Source organism: Homo sapiens, chromosome 5 (genome assembly GCF_000001405.40).
Source record: "Homo sapiens chromosome 5, GRCh38.p14 Primary Assembly".
NCBI classification, from domain to species: Eukaryota; Metazoa; Chordata; class Mammalia; order Primates; family Hominidae; genus Homo; species Homo sapiens.
In genome coordinates, this window is record NC_000005.10 from 129,336,327 (window position 1) to 129,361,577 (window position 25,251).

At 34.5% G+C, this 25,251-nt stretch overlaps 2 long non-coding RNA genes across 5 annotated transcripts in view, besides 1 other annotated feature; one reads left to right on the plus strand and one right to left on the minus strand.

Annotated features, from left to right (window-relative positions):
• The window catches only part of LOC102723654 (uncharacterized), a 253,720-nt gene that overhangs the window by 196,118 nt on the left and 32,351 nt on the right, over positions 1-25,251 (plus strand). For all 3 annotated transcript variants that reach the window (XR_001742463.2, XR_001742465.2, XR_427770.4), the window contains one exon: positions 7,343-7,447. This is a non-coding gene — a long non-coding RNA (uncharacterized LOC102723654). The remainder of the gene's footprint in view (positions 1-7,342; positions 7,448-25,251) is intronic.
• Positions 7,441-16,162, minus strand: LOC105379169 (uncharacterized). 2 transcript variants are annotated; one of them, XR_948775.4, is made up of 3 exons: positions 16,095-16,131; positions 15,746-15,809; positions 7,441-9,185 (listed from the first exon to the last, which is right to left on the minus strand). It is a non-coding gene; the product is annotated as an uncharacterized LOC105379169 (long non-coding RNA). The 2 variants fall into 2 exon arrangements; XR_007058927.1 differs by lacking the exon at positions 7,441-9,185 and having other exon boundaries at positions 12,672-15,809; positions 16,095-16,162.
• Positions 8,741-8,910: an enhancer, noted in NCBI's record as "experimental_80935 CRE fragment used in MPRA reporter constructs". NCBI's record gives its function as "activates a minimal promoter by MPRAs in K562 erythroleukemia cells, with activity observed for both the introgressed and non-introgressed 5:128680845 variant alleles {active_cell/tissue: K562}" and the evidence as "EXISTENCE:reporter gene assay evidence [ECO:0000049][PMID:34662402]".

The window sequence follows — 25,251 nt, forward strand, 5'->3', positions numbered from 1 at the left end:
AGTAGCATTTCTATATGACAACAGTGAACAATCTGAAAATAAGATAAAAAGTAACCCCATTTACAATAACCACAAATAAAATTAAATACCTAGGAATTAATTTGACCAAAGAAGTAAATGATTTCTATAATGAAAACTGTAAACCACTTATGAAAGAAATTGGAGAGGACGCCAAAAAGTGGAAAGACATTCCATGTTTATGGATTGGAAGAATCAATATTGTTAAAATGTCCATACTACCCCAAAACAACCTACAGATTTAATGCAATCTCTATCAAAATACCAAACAAAGTCTTTATAGAAATAGAAAAGAGCGTTCTAAAATTTCCATGGAACCACAAAAGACCCAGAATAGCCACAGCTATTGTGAACAAAAAGAACAGAACTGGAGGAATCACATGACCTGGCTTCAAATTATACTATAGAGCCATAGTCACCAAAACAGCATGATCCTTGCACAAAAACAGGCATATAAACCAATGGAACAGAATAGAGAACCCAGAAATGAATCCACATACCTACAGTGAACTCATTTTCAACAAAAATGCTAAGAACATAAAGGAAAAAGATAATCTCTTCAATATATGTTGCTGGGAAAAATGGATATCCATATGTAGAAGAATGATACTAAACTGCTATCTCTCGCCATATACAAAAATCAAATAAAAGTAATTAAATCAAAGACTTCAATCAATGAAACTACTACAAGAAATCATTAGAGAAACTTGCCAGGTCATTGTAGTGGGCAAAGACTTTTTGAGCAATACCCCACAGGCACAGGCAACCAATACAAAGATGGATAAATGGGATCACATCAAGTTAAAAAGCTTCCTCACAGCAAAGGAAATCATGAACAAAGGAATGAGATAACCTAAAGAATGGGAGAAAGTATATGCAAACTACTCACCTGACAGGGAATTAATAACCAGAATATATAAGGAGCTCAAACAACCCTCTAGGAAAAAAATCTAATAATCTGATTTTAAAATGGGCAAAAGATTTGAATAGACATTTCTCAAAAGAAGATAAAAAATGACAAACAGGCATGAAAAGCTGCTCAACATCACTGATCATCAGAGAAATGCAAATCAAAACTACAATGAGATATCATGTCACCCCAGTAAAAATGGATTTTATCCAAAAGATTGGCAATGACAAATGCTGAGTAGGATATGAAGAAAAGGTAACCCTCACACACAGTTCGTGGGAATGTAAATTAGTACATCCACTATGGAGAACAATTTGGAGGTTCCTCAAAAAACTAATAACAGGGCTACCATATGATCCAGCACTCCCACTGCTGGATCAATACACCCAAAAGAAAGGACATTAGTGTATCAAAAAGGTATCTGTACTCCCATATTTATTGCAGCACTATTCACAATAGCCAAAATTTGGAAGTAACCTAAGTGTTTATCAACATATGAATGGATTTTAAAAACATGGTACATACATACAATGGAGTACTATTCTGCCATAAAAAAGAATAATGGTCATTTGCAACAACATAGATGGAACTGCAGGTCAATATCCTAAGTGAAATAAGCCAGACACAGAACAACAAACATCCCATTTTCTCACTTATTTGTGGGATCTAAAAATGAAAACAATAGAACTCATGGAGATAGAGAGTAGAAGGATGGTTACCAGAGGCTGGGAAGGGTAATGGGAGTGGAGGAGAGGGGTATGAATGGTTAATGCGTACAAAAGAAAAATAGAAAAAAGGAATAAGACTTAGTATTTGCTAGCATGAGAGGGTCACTGTAGTCAGTAATTTAATTGTATATTTAAAAATAAAGAGTATACTTGGACTTTTTGTATCACAAAGGATAAATGCTTGAAGGAACGGATACACATTTTCCATGATATGATTATTATGCTTTGCATGCCTATATCAAAACATGTTATATACCCCATAAATATATACAACTAATATGTACCTCAATAATTTAAAAGTAAATTATAACTTACAAAGATGAAAAAAATCCTACAATTCACAAGGAAGTTTCCACAACAAAAATAAGGATTCACCCCAAAATTTCAGTAGTGCCAAAGTCAGGAAACCCTGCTTTTGTATCTGATAATTTCTCATCACCTCCTTTATCACCACCTGCTGTCATCTTCTCTTACTTGGATTGTTGCTATATCATCCTATCTAGATTCCCTATTTCTATTTTTGCCTCCCTATAATCTGTTATTTGCCTAGCAGCCAGAGTGGTCCCCTAAAAAATATCATCTCAGTTATCTATTAAAATCTTCCAATAGTCTCTCATCTCATTCACAACGAAAGACATATGGAGAACTTCTTTTGCATATGTTAACATTCTTAGAAAAGTCTACAGAACTGTGTATCACTTGAGCCCTATTTTATCTCCCACCTCTTTTATGCCATTCCAATTATATTAGCCTTCTTGTTCTTTCTGAAACAAGCCAAACATATTCTTGCCTCAGGATTTTACTCCTAATATTCTTTCTGTCTGGACCTCTCTTCCAAAGAAATGTGCATGACTGGCTTACCTTTTTCAGGTCAGTGAAAACTTTGACTATGCCATTTAAAATTGCATCTTACTCCTTTCACACAGTACTTCTTATCCTCAACTTGTTTTGTTTCTTCCATAGCACCTATCACCACTTAGCACACTGCATGTTCTGCCCTTTTTGTTGTTTATTTTCTGTCCTCACAACTAAAGTTTAATCCCCATGAGGACAATGTTTTTTTTTTTTTTTGATTGCCAATATATTCTCAAGGCCTAGAATTTACCAGGTATGCAGCAGGAACTCAGTAAATAAATACCTGCTGAATGAGTGAACTAATGAGCAATATTATCTTTGCTCTTACTGTCATACATTAAACAATGTAGTACCTGTTCAAAAATGTTTACCTGATCTATCCCTGCCCCTAGTTGTAGGCTATTTGCATCCTATTGCTTGAATCTTACTTCTAAGGGCTTTGGTTTTGGTTCAGTAACAGTTTTTCGAATATGTTTTAGATGTTAAGTGTTTTAGGATAGACTTTCCTTCCAATTTTATTATGGGCTCAGATTGGTTTTATGATGTGGCTCCTCAGCTCCCTGAGGCAGTTCGATCTAAGGTTTCTCTTGCTTAACTTGCCATAATCTCTCTCTCCCCCAGGACCACCCATTCCCTGCTGTTGTGTTTTTATGCTCTCGTGCCATGGCCACCATAAACATCATCAGTTTTATGCATTTACTGCTTAGGCACTTCAGTAGACAAGTGGAGGTTATTTAAGAAGATGTGCTCCTAAACATTTAAGCATTTATATTTTTTCTTTCCATTTGTCTTCCCATGTAGGCCCCCCAGTGTGCCCCAGTTTTATGTGAAAAGAAAGGATGTTACAAGATTGCTTTGGTGCTGTACAAACGTATTTTACCTAAATATGGATCTAAAGGCACCATTAGAATGATTGGACAATTTATGTTAATTTCTGTTTTTTACCTGAAAGTTCTGCATATGCCCATGGAAATCAATTTACCTAAATGCCTCCATGACAACCTAAGATTTCCTATGTTATAAAAATGCTAACTGTAGAAAGTTTCTATTTGACTGTCCTGCATTCTGTCCAGAAAGAGTAACCTAAGAGTGAAGTCCTCTATTTCTCTAACATACCAAGTCTCTTATCCTGTAACCATTTAAGGTAACACAAGTGTATCTTTTATAAATACACCTTCAAACAAATTATCAGGAGAATACATTAGAAATAGAAATATTAGGGGCTTTTTCAAGCTCAGGCCATACCATCAATAAAATCCAATTAAATTTATTCAAATACCACATTTACTCAAATATCTTATGTTTGATGCATATTCTTGGTGTAAGATTTAATTTAAAAAGGTAAATTAAAATCTATAATTTGAGAAATATTTGGCGTAAATTACACAAGGGCAATATTATGTAGTAGCTGTTATAGTTGAGTTATATGCATTTGGATTTTATGAAGTAATTTTATAGTTTTGATGTAAGCAGAAAGTAAAGCATTTTCTTTAACACAATTAAAAGGACTCTGATCTGCTGTTCATAACTACTAGCTTTTTATTATTTGAAATATGAGAAACATAATACTCTCCCGTTGTTTAATGAAAAGAGCCATTCTTGTTGAGTTTCTTTGTTTTGAAGTGAAATTCAAAATCTGAGGTCTTATGGATATAAAATGGAAATCAGTATCAAAAGTATTTTTCATAATTATGATTAACCTAGAAGATCATATTTGTTTTGTTTCCATATTTCTTGTCTGTTGGAGGAGCAAGGTTAACTAGGAAAAGGAAAAATAACCGAGTTTGGCAAAGGAAATGAATATGTTCTAAAGAAATTGTATAAGTTTTTTTATGTAATCACATTCCAGAGGTTTATTTAAAAAGGTATGTGTTGAATAAAACTCTAAATTATTTAGGTTTTTATTTTTGCCCTCCAAACCTTTAATATCTTGTCCTTTTTCTCTAGTGGGTAGCCAGATAGCTACTGCAATATGTTCTAAAGATTCATAACAGTTGAATATATTGTTAACAATAAGGCCAATTCTTTCAATTTTGCAATAACTGTTTCACACTTCTAAATCCATCATGCACCAAAACTTATAGTCAATCTTGTAACAAACCATTGCTTTCTAAAGATTAGGAAAAACTCTTGGTTGCTATTTTTTCTTATAAAATTTCCCTAGTAGATTCTCATTTTGGGGTGGGTTGCTTTTAGTCATTAAGTAATAAAAAAGAAAATCTCTGGCTTTTCCACTAAAGTGCTCCATGACCTAAGGAAATGCCCCAGTCTTATTTGTAATTTGTGAGTGTAGGATTTCATAAATTATTGTCAACTGACAAGAAAAAGGAGAGTTGGAACAACAAAAACATTTTTAGAAACACTACTTCATCCCAAAGTGAGCAACCTTCAAAATCTAGGTAGGGCTATGGAAGTGTTGTAAATCTTTGCATGATTTGTTGTTAAAATAATACAAATACTATTTTTGAAATATAGTAATGTTATTTTTTATTTTTTGTTCTTGAATGTGATCTTTCTCTTAGTCAGAGACATCTGTTACTTTAAGAGCATTTGTGTTTTTGTTGTAATAAAATAAACACAGTCCAGGCTAAAATTTTGATTTCCCAAATGATCTTTGAATCATAGCTAGAAATTATTCTTGAAAACCAATCTTTGCTGAGGAAAAAAGGGAGTTTCTAAACTCAAATATATTTATAGTTTAGAATCCCCTCAAGGAATATAAGTATAGGATTTGACAATAAATCAGAGCATAGTATAAACAGGATGTTTCATATGGGAAGTTCGTGTTAGAGAATAATATAAGAAAGGATCTAGAAAAAATTAGAGGGGCAGATGACAAACACTATGAAAGAAAACCTGGAGAAGTTAAGGAAGACATTAAGAACAGCCAACTGATGCTACATTTCACTACCATGTCCAGCATGGCATGGAAGAATAATGACAGATGGCAGTGCCTATAAGCATGGGCATGAGATAGAGCCCTGATCCTCACAGCCTACACATAGTGTGCCAGGCCTGGGAATTCCCACATGTTTAGTGTTGGGACATAACAGTGCTAAAAAAAATCAATGAGGCAATTGACATTTGGATCCATAAGGAGGCCATCAGTGGATACAAATTTTAGGGATTATAATCTTCATCATCAGTACTGGTAGGACAGTCCAAAAGACCAGCTGGATGAGGCATATATTGGTAGATCTCAGCTCAGGATTCACGCATACCATGTAGTCCTGGAGATCACCAAGGGACCAGCACAGAGGACTGGAGGTCACCAAGAATGCATAGCATATGTACCAGAATTCCTTCCCCAACCATCCTGCTACAATAAGCTTCCTAAAACTCAATCTTAAGTGTAAGGAGACAATAGGTAAGCTTTTTGAAAGGAGGGAGAGTCAACCCATAAGGAGTTAAAATTTAAAGAAACAATTTAAATAAAAGTCTATCTTGTTAGATTAAAAGGTAAAGTAGTGAGTCGTTAATGGTAGATATTTAATTAGAAATAGACAGTAGGCCGGGCGTGGTGGTTCACGCCTGTAATCCCAGCACTTTGGGAGGCTGAGGCGGGCAGATCATGAGGTCAGGAAATTGAGACCATCCTGGCTAACACTGTGAAACCCCGTCTCTACTAAAAACACACAAAAAAATTAGCCAGGCATGGTGGGACGCCTGTAGTACCTGTAGTCCTAGCTACTTGGGAGGCTGAGGCAAGAGAATTGCTTGAACCCAGGAGGCAGAAATTGCAGTGAGCCGAGACCGCGCCAGTGCACTCCAGTCTGGGCGACAGAGCAGGACTCCCTCTCAAAAAAAAGAAAAAAGAGAAATAGGCAGTATTTTACTTTACCTTTTAATATAACAAGATAGACTTTTATTTAATTTGTTTCTTTAAGTTTTAACTCCTTATCTGGGTTGATTCTCCCTCCTCTCAAAAAGCTTACCTATTGTTTACCATTTGTGAAAATGTGCCATGGACTATCCCTGTTAACTTTATATTAAAAGATGACCTATAAATTATGTCTATATCACTAACTTATTTATAAATGACCACACCCAAGTTCTCCAAGGTCAACAAACCTCAGAAGATGAGCTTTAGAGACATGGAGTTCCCTTGCCATAATGAAAGCTGACCTGGGAGCATTTTTGAAGGCCAGCCTGGCCTGCCAATGGAGAATACAAACAGCCACAAACATTCATAGGGATAGCTTTTGGCATCTTCTACTCAAGTGTTTCCTCTGCTGCTGCTGCCTCTGTTCTTATTTATAGCCAGTGTTTTCCATTACTTAGGAAGACAAATTTGGTATTATAAGTAATCAAAACAGTTGATTGGCTACTTGGTACTCAATAGTTCAATATTATATCTAATTTGTTTTATCAAGGTAGAATATTATTAAAAGGCATTTAGTATGGTTTTTAAACCCTGTTTTCCTAGCATGAGACAATCAAAATAATATTTTTAAAAAATCCAAACATGTAAGTAATCACAGATAAAGTAGCCATATAGATAACTCATGCAAACATACGCTTGTACAGATACATCTATCCATCAATAATTAGTCTTTAACTCATACATATGTTTACACAAGTAGTTAAAATGGTCACATATTTAACTCACATAAACACATGGATTTGCATACAAAGATACATGAATAATTACAGATTACATGGGCATCACTACTGCATAATTCTAAATTGTCAATTCTTTTTGGATCAAAACGTACATAGTGAGCATGCAGAATGAGTTCCTAGTAATGCTTTTAGGTATACAGGACTTTGTTAAATAAATGATTCCGCCTTCATAACAAAATTCCCTGTACTTTATGCTTGAATCCTCTAGAAGTTGATCCAAGACAGAGAAGAAGATACATGGAGCTTATTTGGGAGGTGCACTGATAAAAGATTGCAGACATGAAAAAAGGGAAGAGAAGAAACTCTTTTCAAGGTATGTTATTAAATAGGTTACCATTTGGGCAACTGGGGCTCAGTCCATCTAGGAACACTTAGAGATAAAGTACAATACTCTTTGTTCCAGCTGAGGGAGCTGGGGTAGTCGCCCCTCACTCCCATCAGTCATAGGTTGGAGGCTGTTCCTGAAATGGGGAGGAGAGGAAGCATTAATTCCTTAGGACTTGTGACCTGCCTCTTACATGGGCCGACTAGCTTTTGTTGGCCAGGGAAAATCCTCCAGCAAGAATTATCAGGCAAAACAATTTAAAAAAATGTAAATGTACATGTGTCAGGAAGTGGTATTTTAATTTAGACTGGTAAAGACAGTGAAGGAAGTGTGTGCCAGGCCGGAGGAACAGCATGGCCTAAGGACAATTGAGGAAAGTTTTGAGTGCTTTAAAGTAACTAAGAAAACCAGCATGCTGGATTGCGGCAAGCTCCTGGGAGCATATTATAAAATGAATATGGAAATGTTGTTAAGGGACAGATTATGTGAGGCTTTGCTGACCATGTTAAAGATGTGGGTCATATCCAACACGCAACAGGGAGTTACTGAAGAGTTTCCAGCAGAGAAGATCATTAAATTTTAAGATTGCCCTTGCTATGTGGATAATGGATTGGAGGGAGGCAAGAGTACATAGAAGGGGAAAAATGGCAAAAGAGGCTATTGCACAGTCTGGGATGTAAGTGACAGTGATTTGAATTAGAGTGGAGACTGGGAAAAGTAGATGATTTTGAAATACATTTTGGAAGTGGGATAGAATTTTGTGAGGGCAATGGTAAAGACAGCACAATTTTCAGATTCTGTGAGTGGGACAATAGGTATACCTGGATAAAAAAGACAGAAAAAAAGGTTTGGGGAATAGGTAAAGGTCTAGGGGTCAGATTCGGAAAACAAACCTGAAATGCCTGTGAGACGTATAACAGAAAATGCGAAGAAAGTAGTAAGGCACATGAATGCACTGGGTTGAGACTGAAATTCTAGAAGTTAGGAAGCATTTTTCTGTAAATCATCAGGGGTGTCAGAAATGACCATTCATTCTCTGATATAGTGAATTCAACAACAGAAAAGGAGTCAAAAAGTTTTAAACAGGAAACCAAAAGTAAAGAAATATTTCCTGTTTATGTCTAAGTTCCTTATTTATTAGGTAGAAAGCTCAAGGTGTTGGAATTTTCCCCAAAATTTAGTCTCTCAAATTGTGTTTTAGAGCAATGATCATAATCATATATTCTTCACAAGCTTTCATTTAGCACAGTCTAACCGAGAAATATCGTGTATTGCTTCACAGTACATGGTATAACAGCAAAAGATGTTGGGTTTGAATTTTTCTGTAATTGAGTAGAGTCTCATTCAGGAATTATTCTGCTGTAATATATAAAAGCATCTTTATAGCTCCTTTCTTTCACGTATTAGGCTGATTTAGGGAAACCCTGGGGCTATCAAAGTAGGCAAGAGAAATTATAGTCTAGGATGATAAATGCTTCAATCTGGGGAAGAGTAAATATTACAAGAGTTGACACCTAGACCCACAAACCAGAAAAAAATAATCTCAGGTCAGAGACTTAGAGAATGAGGGATAAGTATGAATGCAGAGCTTAAAACTGGGCCAGGGAAGCAATTTAGAGTTAACTTATAAACAGTGCTGACCTGTTAGAAACTGCTTTGCATGTATTTGTCTTTTGTATGATGGAGGAAGACCTGCTGGCTTCCAGGAGCAGCAGCTGACCTGTAACTGTCAGAGAAGGGGAAGTAACTCTTTGTAAAACTGGAAGGTGGAAGACATCACAGAAATCAGTATTTTTTATCTCTTCTCAAGGCTTGTGGGTTTTGGCTCCCGTCTATCTGTTACGTGGTAATTCTAATCTTTGAAAGTCCATTTTCTTTCCTAAGAAAGGTTCCTATGATCTGAAGCCAAGGAGGACTGGAAAGAATTCAAGGTTATTAGCACATTTATCATATAACACATAGAGCTGAAGGACAGATTACAGACTGATTTAAGTCTTACGGTGATGGGAAGGCGTGGGGCAGAGAGAGGAGAAATTGAGAAAGAAAAGATATTTCAAGAGGCTGTTTTCTGCTAAGGAAACAAAAAAGTCTTTTACTTATATAAAGCAATCATAAAATACTCATTCTCAAGTAAATTAAGTGACATCCAACTTTAACTATTTATATCTTTCCAGTATCTATTCAATCCTAATGAATTCTGAGTCAATTCTCAGAAAATTGTTTCTCTGAATCAGCCTGTGAGCAGATTTAAAGGAGGTAATTACAGCAGAGCTGAGCAGAAACAGAATTGAGGGGCTGGAAATTGAGGCAGTCATCCTTAAGATACATATTTAGATACCTGGCTAGATAAATATATTACATCAAGCTTGTCCAACCCACAGCCCACAAGGCCCCATTGTGAAATGACTAAATACAGCTAATTAACATATGACTTACTTCATAAAGTTATTTTTTTCTGGTGAGAACAACTAACATCTCTTTTAGCATTTTCACAAATAAGATATATTGATATTAACTATAGTCACTTATTCCTCCAAACAGAAATTTTGTATCCTTTCACCATTACTTCCCCAACCACAACAGCCCCCGATAACCACCGATATACTCTCTACTTCTTTAAGACCAACTTTTGTAGATTCCACATATGAGTGACATCATGCAGTATTTGTCTTTCTGTGCCTGGCTTATTTCACTTAACATGATATTCTCCAAGTTCATCCATTTTGCTGCAAATGGCAGAATTTCCTTCTCTTTATGACTAGTAGTATTTCATTACGTATATAGACGACATTTTCTTTATCCATTCATCCATTGATGAACACTTAGTTTGATTCCATATCTTGGCTACTGTAAATAATGCTGCAGTGAATAGGGAAGTGTGGACATCTCTTCAACGTAATGATTTCATTGCCTTTGGATATATATCCAGTAGTGGGATTTCTGGATTATAAAATACTTGTATTAATTTTTTTGGGAACCTTTATATTATTTTCCATATTGGCCACATGAATTTACGTTCCCATCAACAGCTTGTGCAAGGGTCCACCAACACTTATCTTTCATCTTTTTTATAATTGCCATTTTAGCAGATAAGAGGTGATATCTCATCGTGGTTTTAATTTGGATTTCCCTGGTGACTCGTGATATTGATCATGTTTTCATGTATCTGTTGGTCATTTGTATATATGTCTCTTTTTGGGAATGGCTCTTCAGGTCCTTTGCTCACTTTTGATTGGGTTATCTGTTTTCTTCCTACTGATATGAGTTCCTTATATATTTTGGATATTAATCTCTTATCCAAAGAATACTTTTCAAATGTTTTTCCTCAATCTGTGAGTTGTATGTTCCTTGTATATTCTGGATATTAACTTCTTTTCTAGTGTATAATTGGCAAACATTTTTTTCCTCCAATTTGTGAGTTGTATCTTTCCTTTGAAGTGCAGAAGCATTTTGGTTTGTTGCAGTCCTATTTGTCTATTTTTGCTTTTGAGGTCCTATCTAAAAAAAAAAAAAAATCACTGCCCAGACCAATATTGTGGAGCTTTTCCTGTGTTTTCTTTAGTAGTTTTACAGTTTCGGGTCCAGTTTCATTCTTCTGCATGCAGGTATCCAGTTTTCCAACCAACATTTATTAACTGTCCTTTCCCCACTGTGTGTCTTGGCACTTTCACTGAGACTCAGGTGGCTGTAAATATATCGATTTATCTCTGAACAATAAGTGACTCTGTTGTTCCATATGTGTATCATGCCAATTTGGCTACTATAACTTTGTAGTAGATTATCTCTAGGTTTATTCTTTTTGTTCAAGGTCATTTTGTCTATATGGGGTCTTTTGTATTTCAAAATTTTAAGATTGCTGTTTTGTTTCTCTGGAAAAATATTTTTGGTATTTTGATAGTGATTACCTGAATTTGTTTATTGCTTTGGGTGGCATGAATATTTTTGTGATATTTATTCACCCAATGCATGAACATGGGATATCTTTCTTTTCATTTGTGTCATCTTCAATTTTTTTAATCAATGTTTTATAGTTTTCAGTGTAGAGATCTTTTATCTTCTTGGTTAAATTTACTTCTAAGTATTTTTTGTAGCTCTTACAAGTAGGATTGTTTCCTTTTTTCAGATAGTTAGTATTGTTGTATAGAAATGTTACCTACTTTTGTATGTTGATTTTGTATCCTGAAACTTCACTGAAATTGTTATTCTAACAGGTTTTTCTGGTAAAATCTTTAGGTTTTTCTATATATAATATCACGTTGTTGCAAACAGACAATTTTACCTCATCCAATTCTATTTGAGTGCTTTTATTTCTTTCTCTTGTCTAATTGCTGTGGCTCAGACTTCTAAGACTATGTTGAATAGAAGTGGCAAGACCGAACATCTGTGACTTGTTTTGAATCTTAGAGGAAAAGCTTTTAACTTTTTCACAGTAAGTATGGTAGTTGTGGGTTTGTCACATGTGGTCTTTATTGTGTTGAGGTACATTCCGTCTATATCTAATTTGTTGAGTTTTTCCTTATCATGAAAGTATATTCTATTTTGTCCAAGTCTTTTTTTGCCTCTGTTGAAAGGATTGTTTATTTTTTGTCCTTCATTTTGTTGATGTGATGTATCACATTTATAGATATGGATATGTTGAACTGTTCTTGCATTTCTAGGATGAATCTCACTTGATCATAATGAATGATCTTTTTAATGTGCTGTTGAATTCAGTTTGTTCATATTTTGTTGAGGATGTCTGCATCTATGTTTATCAGTTATCTTTTTTCACAGTGTCCTTGTCTGACTTTGGTACCAGTATAATGCTAGCCTCATAAAATCAGTTTTGAATTATTTCCTCCTTTTCAATTTTTTGAAACAATTTGAACAGCACTGGTATTAGCTCTTCTTTAAATGTTTAATAGAATTTAGCAGTGAAACCATCAGTTCCCATTCTTTTCTTTGTTGGGAGACATGTTATTATTGATTCAATACCCTTACTCATTATTAGTCTGTTCAGATTTTCTATTTCTTCGCAATTTAATCTTGGTAGGTTGCATATCTCTAGGAATTTTCCCATTTCTTCTAGGTTATTCAGTTTGTTGATATATAATTGTTCATAATGGTCTCTTGTGATTTTTTCCCCTGTTGTATCAGTTTTAATGTCTCCTTTTGGATTTTTGGAATTTGAGTCTTCTTTTTCTTTTGGTCTAGCTAAACGTTTATCTTTGCAAAAAACTGTTAGTTTTATTGATTTATTATATTAACTTTCTAGTGTTTATTTTTTTCTTTTCTCACCTTTATTATTTCCTTCTTCCTATGAACTTTGTGCTTAGTTTGCTCTTGTTTTCCATTTCTTCTCTTATTGTCTTTTGTGGTTAAGTAATTTTCTCTAGTGCTATTCTTTGATTCATTACTTTTTTTTTCTGTGTATCTACTAATAGATTTTTCACTTTGTGGTTACTATGAAGCTTACAAAAATTTTTTACAGTTATAGCAGGTTATTTTAATCTGATAAAAATTTTAATACCAAAGAAGAGACTTTATACTTTTACTTCGCTCCTCTCTGAACATTTTGAATTTTCAGTGTCTCGATTTCCATATTTTTACATTGAATATCTCAAGAAATTATTGTAGCTATTAGTTTTGTCTTTTAATATTTATACTAAAGATATAAATGATTTACACACCACCCTTACAGTACAAGAGTATTATAATTTGATAGTGTACTTACCAGTGAGTGTTATACTTTGAATCTTTTTCTTTCAGCTTGAAGAACTCCATTTAGCATTTAGCAAGACAGGTCTTGTGGTGATTAAATTCCTTTGCTTTTTGCTTGGGAAAATCTTTACCTCTTCTTTGTTTCTGAAGAACAGCTTTGCTGGGTATGATATTCTTGGTTGCAAGTTTACTTTCTTCAACATTTTAACTACTAGATATCACCCTATTTTCTCATAGCCTTTTCTGCTGAGCAATCTGTTGCTAGTCATATTAGTACCTCCTTGTATGTTATTTTCTCCTAATTTTAACTATTTGATTATAATATATATCGATATGGTCCCATTTGAATTGGATCTGATTAGACCTTAGATCTTCCTTTACATGGATATTTATATGCTTCTCCAGGTTTGGAAAGTTTCTACTATTTCCTCAAATAAGCTTTTTACCCCTTTAACACCTGTGACTTGAAAATTTGCTCTTTTGATACTGTCCCATAAATCCTGTAAGCTTTCTTCATTCATTTTTTTCTCCTCTGATTATTTTCAAATAACCTATTCCTTAGTTCAGATTCTTTTCTTGATCAATTTGGTTGTTAATGCTCCCACTGAGTTTTTTATTTCATTCTTTATATTCTTTAGCCCCAGAATTTGTTTGATATTTAAAATTATTTCCATTTCCTTGTTAATTTTCTTATTTTGTTCACCTATTGCCTTCCTTATTTCCTTGTTTCTCTGAATTTTCTTGAAATTTGCCAAGTCCTTAAAACAGTTATATAATTAGAATACTGAAATAATTAGAATATTCAAATAGACACATGCATTGTATGCTTATTGTGCATACATCTTCGCCAACAATTTTATTGCCAGGTACTTTCACATTGTAGACAGTGATTGTGGGTATATATGGTATTATAGTATGGTAATTTGCATTACCTTTGTTTTCATTTTCATTTCCCTGATGACTGATGATATTGAACATTTTTCCACATACTTATTTTCTATTTATTTTTTTTGATTTTGTCCATTTTTAACTTTTTTCTTACTAATGAGTTATTAGTTTTAGGTTTTTTGCATATAGAGTACTCTATCAGATTAAACTCTTCACTTTTAAACAGAATCTTTTGAGGAGCAAAATATTTTAATTGTTATGATATTGAGTTTATCAATAGTTTTCTTTTAGTGATTATGCTTTTTTATACTAAGAAATCTTTGCCTAACCCAAAGTCATGGAATTTCCCCTTTTTAGCTCAATTATTTATAATATTCTTATTAAAAGGGCTATTACTACCCAGTTGGGGTTAAAGTTTGCATATATTCTCAGGTACGTATTTTTAAATTTATTTTTTTCCATCATATGTATGGATGAATACTTTTTTTCCAGCAATATTTGTTGAAAGACTTTAATTTCCCTATGGAACTGCCTTGGAAATTTTGTCAAAAATCAATTTACCTTATGCATGCAGGTCTATTTCTGGATTTTATTATTTTCTACTAACCTATGATTATTATGCCAATATCACTGTTTTGATTAAAATAGCTTTATAGCAACATTAGAAACCAAGTATTATAAGTTCTTGTTTCTAGGACTTATAGACTAGTGTTTTAACTACAAAACATTGTTTTTCTTTTTCAAAGTTTGATTTTTAGGTATTTGGTATTTTGGTTATTAGGTCGCGTGTATTTCCATAGGCATTTTATAATCAGCATATCGATTTCTACAAAAAGCAATTAGGATTTTTGGATATATTGATCAACTTGGGTAGAATTGACATCTTAACAATATTGAGTCTTCCAAATTATAAAGAAAGTCTTGTTTTTCCCATTTAGGTTTTCTTTAATATGAAAAACTTTTTTGTATCAAGAGTGCAGAACTTGCAAATATTTTGATTAACATGCTATTGTAAATGGTATTATTCCTTTCAATTGTTCATAGTTAGTATATAGACATATAATTGATTTTTTAAATATTTATCTTGTATCCTATAATTATGTTGAGGTCACTTACGTTCCAGTAGATTCTGATGTGTTTTATTAGTAAATAATATTAGCAATGTGCTAACAATTTTGAAAATAGGCAATAGGTATATGGAAGTTCATTATATTATTATATACATATTTAGTTTTTCCACTAAAAGCTTTACAAAGAGCAAAAGGACATAAATAAGGTAAAGGATATCTAGTAGAGATGGAAGATATTAATTGGATTGTAGTTAGCAGAAAAAGTGTTAAGTAATAAAACCCAACAATAGGTTGAATTTTATTACAAGGAAGGGAATGGCTTTTGCATTGAGAAGGATGTAACAGATAAAAATCAATTAAAATACAGAGAAAAACATGAGGAAACATTGGCTAGTAAAATGATGAGGGGGTCAAACTTAACATGTGAAAAAAAATAGGCTTTCATGAAAAATAGAATAAAGAGCACCAAGAAAGTAAAAACATGTCAACAAACATTTGATCAACTTGATTTTTAAAACATATATGTCTGAATATAATGTAAATAATACCATAAATTATTAATAAACATGATAAACTTAATACTTTCCTATATACCCACAACTTTGCCCAAAATATCTGTAATACTCACAAATTCCCTGCAAAGGCTGATGGGAGACTCCTTTTTACAGACAGGAAACTTCTCCAAAGTTCATCTGATAAAGTATAAATAAGTCATTTAGAAACAGGTACATTTTATTTATTTTCAAAAATCACTTGCAGAAATTTAGCTAATGAACTAGTAAGCAAGAAAAGTTTCCTTTTCTTAATAAAAGCAAAAATACATTATTTAGTGAAAATAGACCAAAAAGTTTCATTAACCTAAAGATTAAAAACATATTTATTTAGTTTGATAGTTTATCAAAAGCAGAAGCAGGATTGTAGGATTAGCATAATGATTTCCTCATCTGCTGTTTCATAGTTATAAAGATTTTGCTTACAAAGGAAGAAGTCAGATTGTCCTTGTTTGCAGATGATATGATGTTATATATGGAAAAACCTGAAGACTCTACAAAAAAAAAAAAAAACCTATTAGAACTGATAAAGTCCAGTAAAGTTGCAGGTTACAAAATCAACACACATAACTCAGTAGCATTTCTATATGCCAAAAGTGAACAATCTAAAAAAGAAATCCCATTTACAATAGCCACAATTAAAATTAAATACCTAGGAATTAACCAAAGAAGTGAAAGATCTCTAAAGAAAACTATAAAACACTGGTGACAAAAAATTTAAAAGGATAATATTCTGTGTTCATGGATTGGAAGTATCAATATTGTTAAAAATCCATACTAGGCTGGGTGCAGTGGCTCACGCCTGTAATCCCAGCACTTTGGGAGGCCGAGGCTGGCAGATCCTGAGGTCAGGAGATCAAGACCACGGTGAAACCCCGTCTCTACTAAAAATACAAAAAAAAATTAGCTGGGTGCAATGGCAGGCACCTGTAGTTCCAGCTACTCAGGAGGCTGAGGCAGGAGAATTGCATGAACCTGGGAGGCGGAGCTTGCAGTGAGCCAAGATTGCACCACTGCACTCCAGCCTGGGCAAGAGAGCAAGACTCCGTCTCAAAAAAAAAAAAAAGTCCATACTACCCAAAGCTATCTATAGATTCAATGCAATCCCTACCAAAATGCCAATAACATTCTTCACAAAAATAGAAATAACTACCTTAAAATTTATATGGAACTGCAAAAGACCCAGAATAGCTACAACTACCCTAAGCAAAAGAAACAAAACTGGAGGAATCACATTACATGACTTCAAATTATACTCCAGAGCTGTAGTCACCCAAACAGCATGGTATTGGCATAAAAAAAAAATGACACATTGACCAAGAGAACAGAATAGAGTACACAAATACAAATCCATACACCTACAGTGAATTCATTTTTGACAAAGGTGCCAGGAATATACACTGGAGAAAAGACAAATAATGTTGGAAAAACTGGATATCCATATGCAGAAGTATAAAACTAGACCCCTATCTCTTGCCATATACAAAAATCAAATTAATATGAATTACATAATTAAAGACCTCAAACTATGAAACTACTACAAGAAAACTTAGAGGAATCTCCCTAGGACATTGTAGTGGGCAAAGACTTCTTGAGCAATACTCCAAAGGCACAGGCATCCACAGCAAAAATGGACAAATGGGATCACATCAACCTGAAAAGCTTCTTCGCAGCAAAGGAAACCATCAACAAAGTGACAAAACAACCCACAGTATGGGAGAAAATATTTGCAAACTACCCATCTGACAAGGAATTAATAACCAGAATTAATAACCAGAATAGATAAGGAGCTCAAACAAATCTATAGGGAAAAAATCTAATAATCCAATTTAAAAATAGGCAAACAATTTGAATAGACATTTCTTAAAAGAAGACAAACACTGAACCCATAGAGAATAGAAGAGTGGTTACCACAGGCTGGGAAGGATGGTGGGGGAGAGGTGGGGATGGTTAATGGGTACAAAAAAATAGATAGAATGAATGAGTAAGGTCTAGTATTTGATAGCACAATAGCAATAGGTGACAATACTCAATAATATAATTGTACATTTTTAAATAACTAAAGGTATAATTGGATTGTTTGCAATGCAAAGGATAAATATTTGAGGGGATGGGTACCCCATTTACCAGTGGTAATTATGCATTATATGCCTGCATCAAAACATGCATGTACCTACAAATTTTTTAAAAAAACAAACTTTACTTACAAACAAATTAACACATGCTCCACCATTATTCTAGTACAACATTCTACTTTATTTTTGCTTCACAATTGCCTAAGTCCATCAGCTGCAAGGTACCTATTTTGTCATTTTCTGTTTCAAGTTTTTGGTTTGTCTTTCAAATTTCTTTTTTTTTTTTTTGGATTTTTATAGAATGCAGCATGTATTAATACATCGTCTAATTCTAATCCTACTTTTTTGATTGCTTGAAACTAAATGTACAATGATGCTTACACCATGCAGAGACATTAAATCATATAACTTCTAAGGATACACTGTTATAATAAATTATGAGTCTGGAAATGAATTCTTCCTATATGCAATTATAATTTACAAAAAGAAAAAATTTAGTTTATTCTATAAATTATTAATTAAAACATAAGTATGCTTAAAAATTTAGTACTAATTCTAACCTATTTTAGATTAATCCTGTTTACTTTTACAAAGTTTTAAAAATATCAGAATCGTAATTTGCAATTTTAAGATAATAAAAATAAATTAAGTATATTAATTCACTATAGCATTAAAATGCAATAATCTTAATTTCCTCAACATGTCATGAGTAAGATTTCATCCTTTACATTATACTTGCAATGCATTTTGTTTTCTGTTGTATCTGAAATTAATGAACTGAGTCATTCTGAGATTTGGCTAAAACTAGATGAATTTATTGTTTTAACCAGAAATCTTAATACTAGATTTAGGATAAATTAAATCTTGTTTTTGCTGTCTTTGATATTATTTATACATCCTCTTCTTGGGTAGCTGTTAGATACAGTAGATATTAAATAGCTATACAAAAAAATGGCATACAAGATATAGATAATTTTGTCACTGGTACTATGCCAACTAAAATTTATGGCCATGTAAAAATGTCTAAGAAATGAAACAGTTCACAGCATAACAGAATAAAAGAAAGTCTAGGAAGGGAAAAGAAATAGAAAAGAAAACAGTTATAAATTAAAGTCTGAAATATTTCAGAAAATTTAGAGAAAGATATGCTAGCAAGTCAAAATAAATTCAAGGAAGATAAATAGAGCATTTTCAAAATTCAACAATACAATAAAATCTTGACTTGCTGATTTATATTCTTAAAATAAATTTAAGTAAGATCTTTCAAAACTGTGTGTTACTTTTGTTCTCCTGATCCTGTAGACCTGTGTCAAAGTCACCCTGACCTGAGAGAGTTGAATTATTTTTATGTACGAGATATATTTTGACAATATTATACTTATTTTTAGTACTTTTTCCTCCTCTTTATCTGTGAATATTTCTCCTCTTCTTTTATTGTCTCTCCACTTAAATCCCTGTAGTTTCTTTTCTGAAACATACACAAAAAGGCAAACACTCTAGTTTATTCATTGACTATTTTTTTTAAAAAAGTACGTGTATCTCACCCATTCAGGTTTTTATACTTTTACTACATACATACCTATCATTAACACCACATGGTATTGCTTTGTATGCTTTCTACATTTTCTTTCTAAATTAAAATATATCACACTGTTTATTTCTTTTGTAATCTTTTTTTACTGTTTTGCTTTTTACATTTATCTATGTCAAGACATGTAGATTTCATTTATTTTAACTAGTGTTGCATATTAATGCAAGTAATACGTAGTCAAATATGGCAAGTTTATGATGTCCAATCTAACATCTTATATGGCTATATGACAATGTTTATATAAGATAGTTTTCTAGATTATATTTCTAGGTGTAAAACTGCTATGTTAGAAGTTATATGCACTTTCAACATAAGTAGATAAGCACATTGTTCTTGAAGTTTACATATTCATTACGCTTTCATAGTATCCAAACCTTTCTGCTTCTTCATCTCAAGCACTTTTATAGAAGAGAAGTATACCTTTTTTTTTTTTTTTTTAAGACAGAGTCTCACTCTGTCACCCTGGCTGGAGTGCAGTGGCGCCATCTTGGCTCACTAAAACTTCTTCCTCCTGGGTTCAAGCGATTCTCCTGTCTCAGCCTCCCAAGTAGCTGGGATTACAAGCATCCGCCACCACACCCGGTTAATTTTTGTATTTTTAGTAGAGACTGGGTTTCACGGTGTTGGCCAAGCTGGTCTCGAACTCCTGACCTCAGGTAACCCACCCACCTCGGCCTCCCAAAGTGCTGGGATTACAGGCGTGAGCCACTGCGCCCAGCCAAGTTACCTTTTTTCAAAAAAACTTATTTAAATTTATTTTTCATAATTAAGTACAGTGGGTCTTTTATTTCAATATTAAATTCTACTCTGAAATGTGCTGTATTAAGATTTTGTTTCCTATTAGATAAACCTTGATTACAATGTGAGATATAACTTTTATTTATTTGCATATTCTTATTATTTTAGTGAATGTTTCACTAGGACAGACCATATCAATTTAATTCCACATTGCAACCTTACATCAATATATGTCATATAGAAAGTACTCAATAAATATTGGTTGGGTCAGTAACATAAATTTGTATTTAGCTAACAGCGAGTTATTGAACAACTAAACTTTTAGGCATCCATGATGCAGAATGCATATCACGTTAATTCCTGTCTGTTCTATGACTCCATCACCCATGGAGAAAAGTAACAATTTTTAATATATCCACTACAGTGTCCTTCTGTCCCAATTTTCTCTCAGCAACAATGGCTTTGGACGATCATACTCATGAAACACATTAGTTTTCACATAGTGCCAAATTTACCCAGTTTTAAGAATGACTGTGGAACAAGCAACAATGTAGCAACAACATAGCTGAGGATATCATGACTCTGGGCATGTGTGATGCCTGCCATATTTAGGGCATGTGTCATTAGAATACATGAGGCCAAGTGGACGTGGACAGTCTCTGCTAAAGAAAGCCATCAATTCTGAGGTTGCCTCAGGATGTTACCTTGCTAGACACATGCCATTCTCTGGTGAACATAATGACTACCCAGTTTCCAATTGCAGCTGAACCTTATACACACTGATTCTCCATTACATGACAATCTCAAGAATGAGGTGTAGGTACTTATTAAGGGACATTATCCTCAAACAGATTCTGATTTATCTCCAATTAATTTGGGGTATTCTTCTATTAATTCTATGAGTTAGTGTTACTAAGACAATATAGCCAAAGGTCAACTCAAGTATCCCTGAAGCTAGAGGAAAGACCATGAAATCATCTGTTGATCTCTAACTTGCAGTTTCTTGCCAGTCCTTGTCAATATCTTTGTTACTTTTCCTCCATCTTTTTAATTCTTAGCACAGAAACTTCTACAATGTTGTGACATGCAAGAAAACATACTAAAACAACTACCAGGGTCTCTATCATCCAAGGAACAGTTGGGAAAAAAACACACATTAACTGCGATTATACAGTTTCACAAATTTCTGGATATTCAAATTTATTGAATATTTCTCTATAAATTAGACTATACCTTTACCCAAGGTAGCCTCAATTAGTCATAGCTTTTTAAAGGTTTGGACAGACATATTCACCTGCATATGCAACTTTCCTAAAGCTAACTTTCCTCCTTAATTCACTCCCTGGGATTTAAAACACCAATTTCCGAAACCCCAGTTTCCTGTCAGTATGTTAGGGCCAGTGTTGAGTAAAATACCATCAGTGTTTGCTTCTGAGTACTTATCGTACAGGTATAATTCAAGAATATTGTGGAGGACTTCCTGTTTGGTGGACAGGTGGATACAGAGAATCACAGCATACTCTAGCAGACACCAATGAGCAGAAACTTCTGTGGAAACCAGAACCAGAGTAGGATAACCTGAATCATAATTGACAAATTGCTGGAGGCTCAGTGTGGACAAGTCTATGAGTTAAAAACTCAAAGAAGCCCTTCTACCTTTGTGATTGATTACCTCTTGGAGCTTTGCTGTAATGCACAGTGAATATGAGAGAGAAAAAAATACCCTCAGGAGAAACTGTGTCACCAAAGGCTAACTTATTGGCATTTTACCACAGCCGAAGTATCCTTGGGGAAGGGAATACCCAACTCCAGTTCTCTCTAGCCTTCCTTGTGTGAGAAGAGGAATTACCAACTCCCGCCACCTCCAGCCACCTTGGAACGTAAGGTGGGGGTGGGGAGGCACTGCTAAGCACTTGTGATAGTCACAGACACAGGTTCACTAAAAGACTGAGACTAATCAGGATGACAGAACACTTCCCCTGCCTCCACATCTTACCACCATAGATCACTAAAGGTTCATTTACTGGAGTTCCTTCAACCCAGTACAAGTCTAGCTTTCAACAAAAAATTACAAGACCTACTAAAAGGCAAAAAATACAGCATCAAAACTAGAGTTAGATACAGCAGGAATGTTAGAATTATCAGACTGAATTTAAAACAACTACAAGTGCAAGGATTGTAATGGGAAAAGACAACATGCAAGAACAGATGAGTAGAGAAATAGAAATTCTAACAAAAAATCAAGTATATTTGGTATTCCCAGAAGTATGAAGTGCCTCAGGACACTGTCAGTAAGCATATACTATTTCTTATTGTCATTCCGTTTGTATGTGTACCATAGGCTTCCACAATTGCCACCTTGAATGTTCCTGGGGCAAATCACCAGTGATATGTGACTGCCGTATAATGACAATATTTACCATTTTTCATATCTAATTAATTGAGCTACTGTTTGTGTAGTATTCCATATACATTCACACCTTAAAGTTTTTTAAGGATACAAAGCAGGTGATAATGATATATGCTTCCCTTCATACTCATACTCAGCTAGTTACCTTAACAGGCCACATCCTGGTTTACAGCAATCCAGTACATCAGTTGCTAACTGCCAGGAACAGTAAGTCCAGTTCAGTGTAAAAGTAAGAAAACCAAAATCAAAACAAAAAAACACAGTCCAAATGGTAATTACAAACCACTGTTACTCAGGCAAGTCTTCAGCTAAGAGTATCATCATCATCAAGGGATGCTGGTTGATATCTTCCCCAAACCACCCACAGCAACTTCTTGGGTAAGTCTTAGGGTTCAGCTTCATTCAAATACCCTTCTCAGCAGAAAAAAAAATCCAGATATTTCTTTCAGCAGTGGCCATCACTTGACACTACATCTGAAAAAACAGCTAAGAAAATTAGATGTTCTTTTTTTTCATACATCATTACCTGTTTAAGTATCACTTCTCTTCTGCCAAAATTTTCCTTTTTCTTTCTTTTACTCATTACCTGTGTTAGTCCAGGCTCAGCCATGCTGGGTGGAATCTCTACACAACCACCCACAGGACAGATAAAGCCTTCTCAGAATTTTTTTTTTCATCCTGGCACAGATTAAAAAACAATGGAACAATTCCAATAACTAGAAGTGTGTCCAATATCTACAGTTCATCTTAGTTTAAACGCATATGGTGAAGACTATATCCAGTCTGTCATTTCCTTAAAGTTTCGAGGAAGTGAATTAGCACAGCAATGCCTCTCTTGTTGTGACATGCATGGGCAGTCTCAGACACAGTACACCTGGATCTGACAAGAAAAAAGAATTTGCAAGGTGTGAAAGGTAGAGTTTGTGGCTGTATCATCTCCTACCCCTCATTCCATTTTACACAGGAGAAACCTTAAAGTTCCTCTCTCTTCACTTTTGGTCATTCAGGTGAAATATACATTCATCCAATCAAGCCAGCCTTCCCTTCACACAACCCCCACTTATCATTAACCTCACTTTTAATTGCCGAATCTAGTTCTCAAGTAAACTGTTACTTTGAGCATGAAAAGAGACATAAGTTCATATTATGTTATGCTTCTTAGTAAAATACGTATTATTTAATGAAGTATAGCCTGGCCACATTTATAAACATTCCGCTACAAAATTTTTATGGTATCTCAGCTATTGCGTCCTTTACAGGATAAAGGGAGTCCAAAAGCAAATATATGCCCATTCTAGTCAGAACATATTTGAAGCCATTTATAGCTACTGGCAAGGATCCTACGTAGCCTGCCAGCTACAGTCAACTATTGTCTTGAAGAAATCTTACACATATTTATTTCCTGTTTGTATTCTGTACATCTTTTACCACATTAGCAGCTTCATAATATGATAAATATGTAATTACTCTTTGCAGTGTTTCATAGCTTGAGCACTTCGCAGTCTACTTGAGATATAGAAGTAGCTACCTTTTTTTTTTTTTTTTTTTTTTTTGAGACGGAGTCTCGCTCTTGTTGCCCAGGCTGGACTGTAGTGACACAATCTCAGCTCACTGCAACCTCCACCTTCCCAGGTTCAAGCGATACTCCTGCCTCAGCCTCCCGAATAGCTGGGACTACAGGCACACACCATCATGCCCGGCTAATTTTTGTATTTTTAGTAGAGACGAGGTTTCACCATGTTGGCCAGGCTGGTCTCAAACTCCTGACCTCATGGTCCATCTGCCTTGGCCTCCCAAAGTTCCGGGATTACAGGCATGAGCCACTGCGCCTGGCCAGATATAGCTACTTCTAAGATCCAAACGAAGCTGTCAGCTTTTGCATTCTAGTCCCCTTCTGAGCCAGTAGCTGATTTTTTCTGTTTAGTAGGTACACGGCACCCCTTTAATTTTTTCTTGGAATTCCTACAGGATTTCCAAAACTACATTCCCTACACAGATTTATTCTTAATTATATGATCATCTAGGGCTCATTTGCCTGAACACATGGCAAAGCAAAGCAATGGCCACCACCCATGAGTTCATAAAATGTAAAACATTTTTTCTGAGGAAGAGCCCAGTGCTCTTTGCACTTTCAGATATGTTGATCTCAATGCTGCCCATTCTATAGCTTTACTCTTGGTGGGGGGGCGGGGTGGGGGGAACCTTGCCTAAGGTCTTTATCAAACACAGGAAAGATATTGGCATATTTCCAAAATAAACTGCATTCCTGAATTTAGGAACACACCAGGAAGCTTGCTTTACTTTAGCAAGAGACAAATTTTAGGGTTCAGGAGCCAACAGTTCTAGAGATTGTATCATTAGTTCCCAAAAGAGGGCTGGAAACTGCTCATGGATACAATGATCTCTCTAACAATGCCCTGACCACTACTCCCAACCCCCAACACACACACACAGCCCAATTTGAGAACATATTCCTATGTGTACCATTTTATCAGTAGACTCTGATGAGTGGCTCTAGCTTTATGGGAGTATCTGACATTATCCATAGCATACTAGTTATTTCAGTTTTCAGAAGTATTTTTCTTCAGTGATGGGAGATCTCTCCACCAGATCCCAGAAATAAGCCATCAATTATCCTCAAAGGGATGTATCTAGCTGTGGTGTTGGGTACCTTGCAAGTCTTCTATTACAGCGTCACTTTTGTGGAACATCATTAGACTTTCCATTGGCATCAGTCTCTGAGTTTACAAAGCAGGTACCTGCAAACTA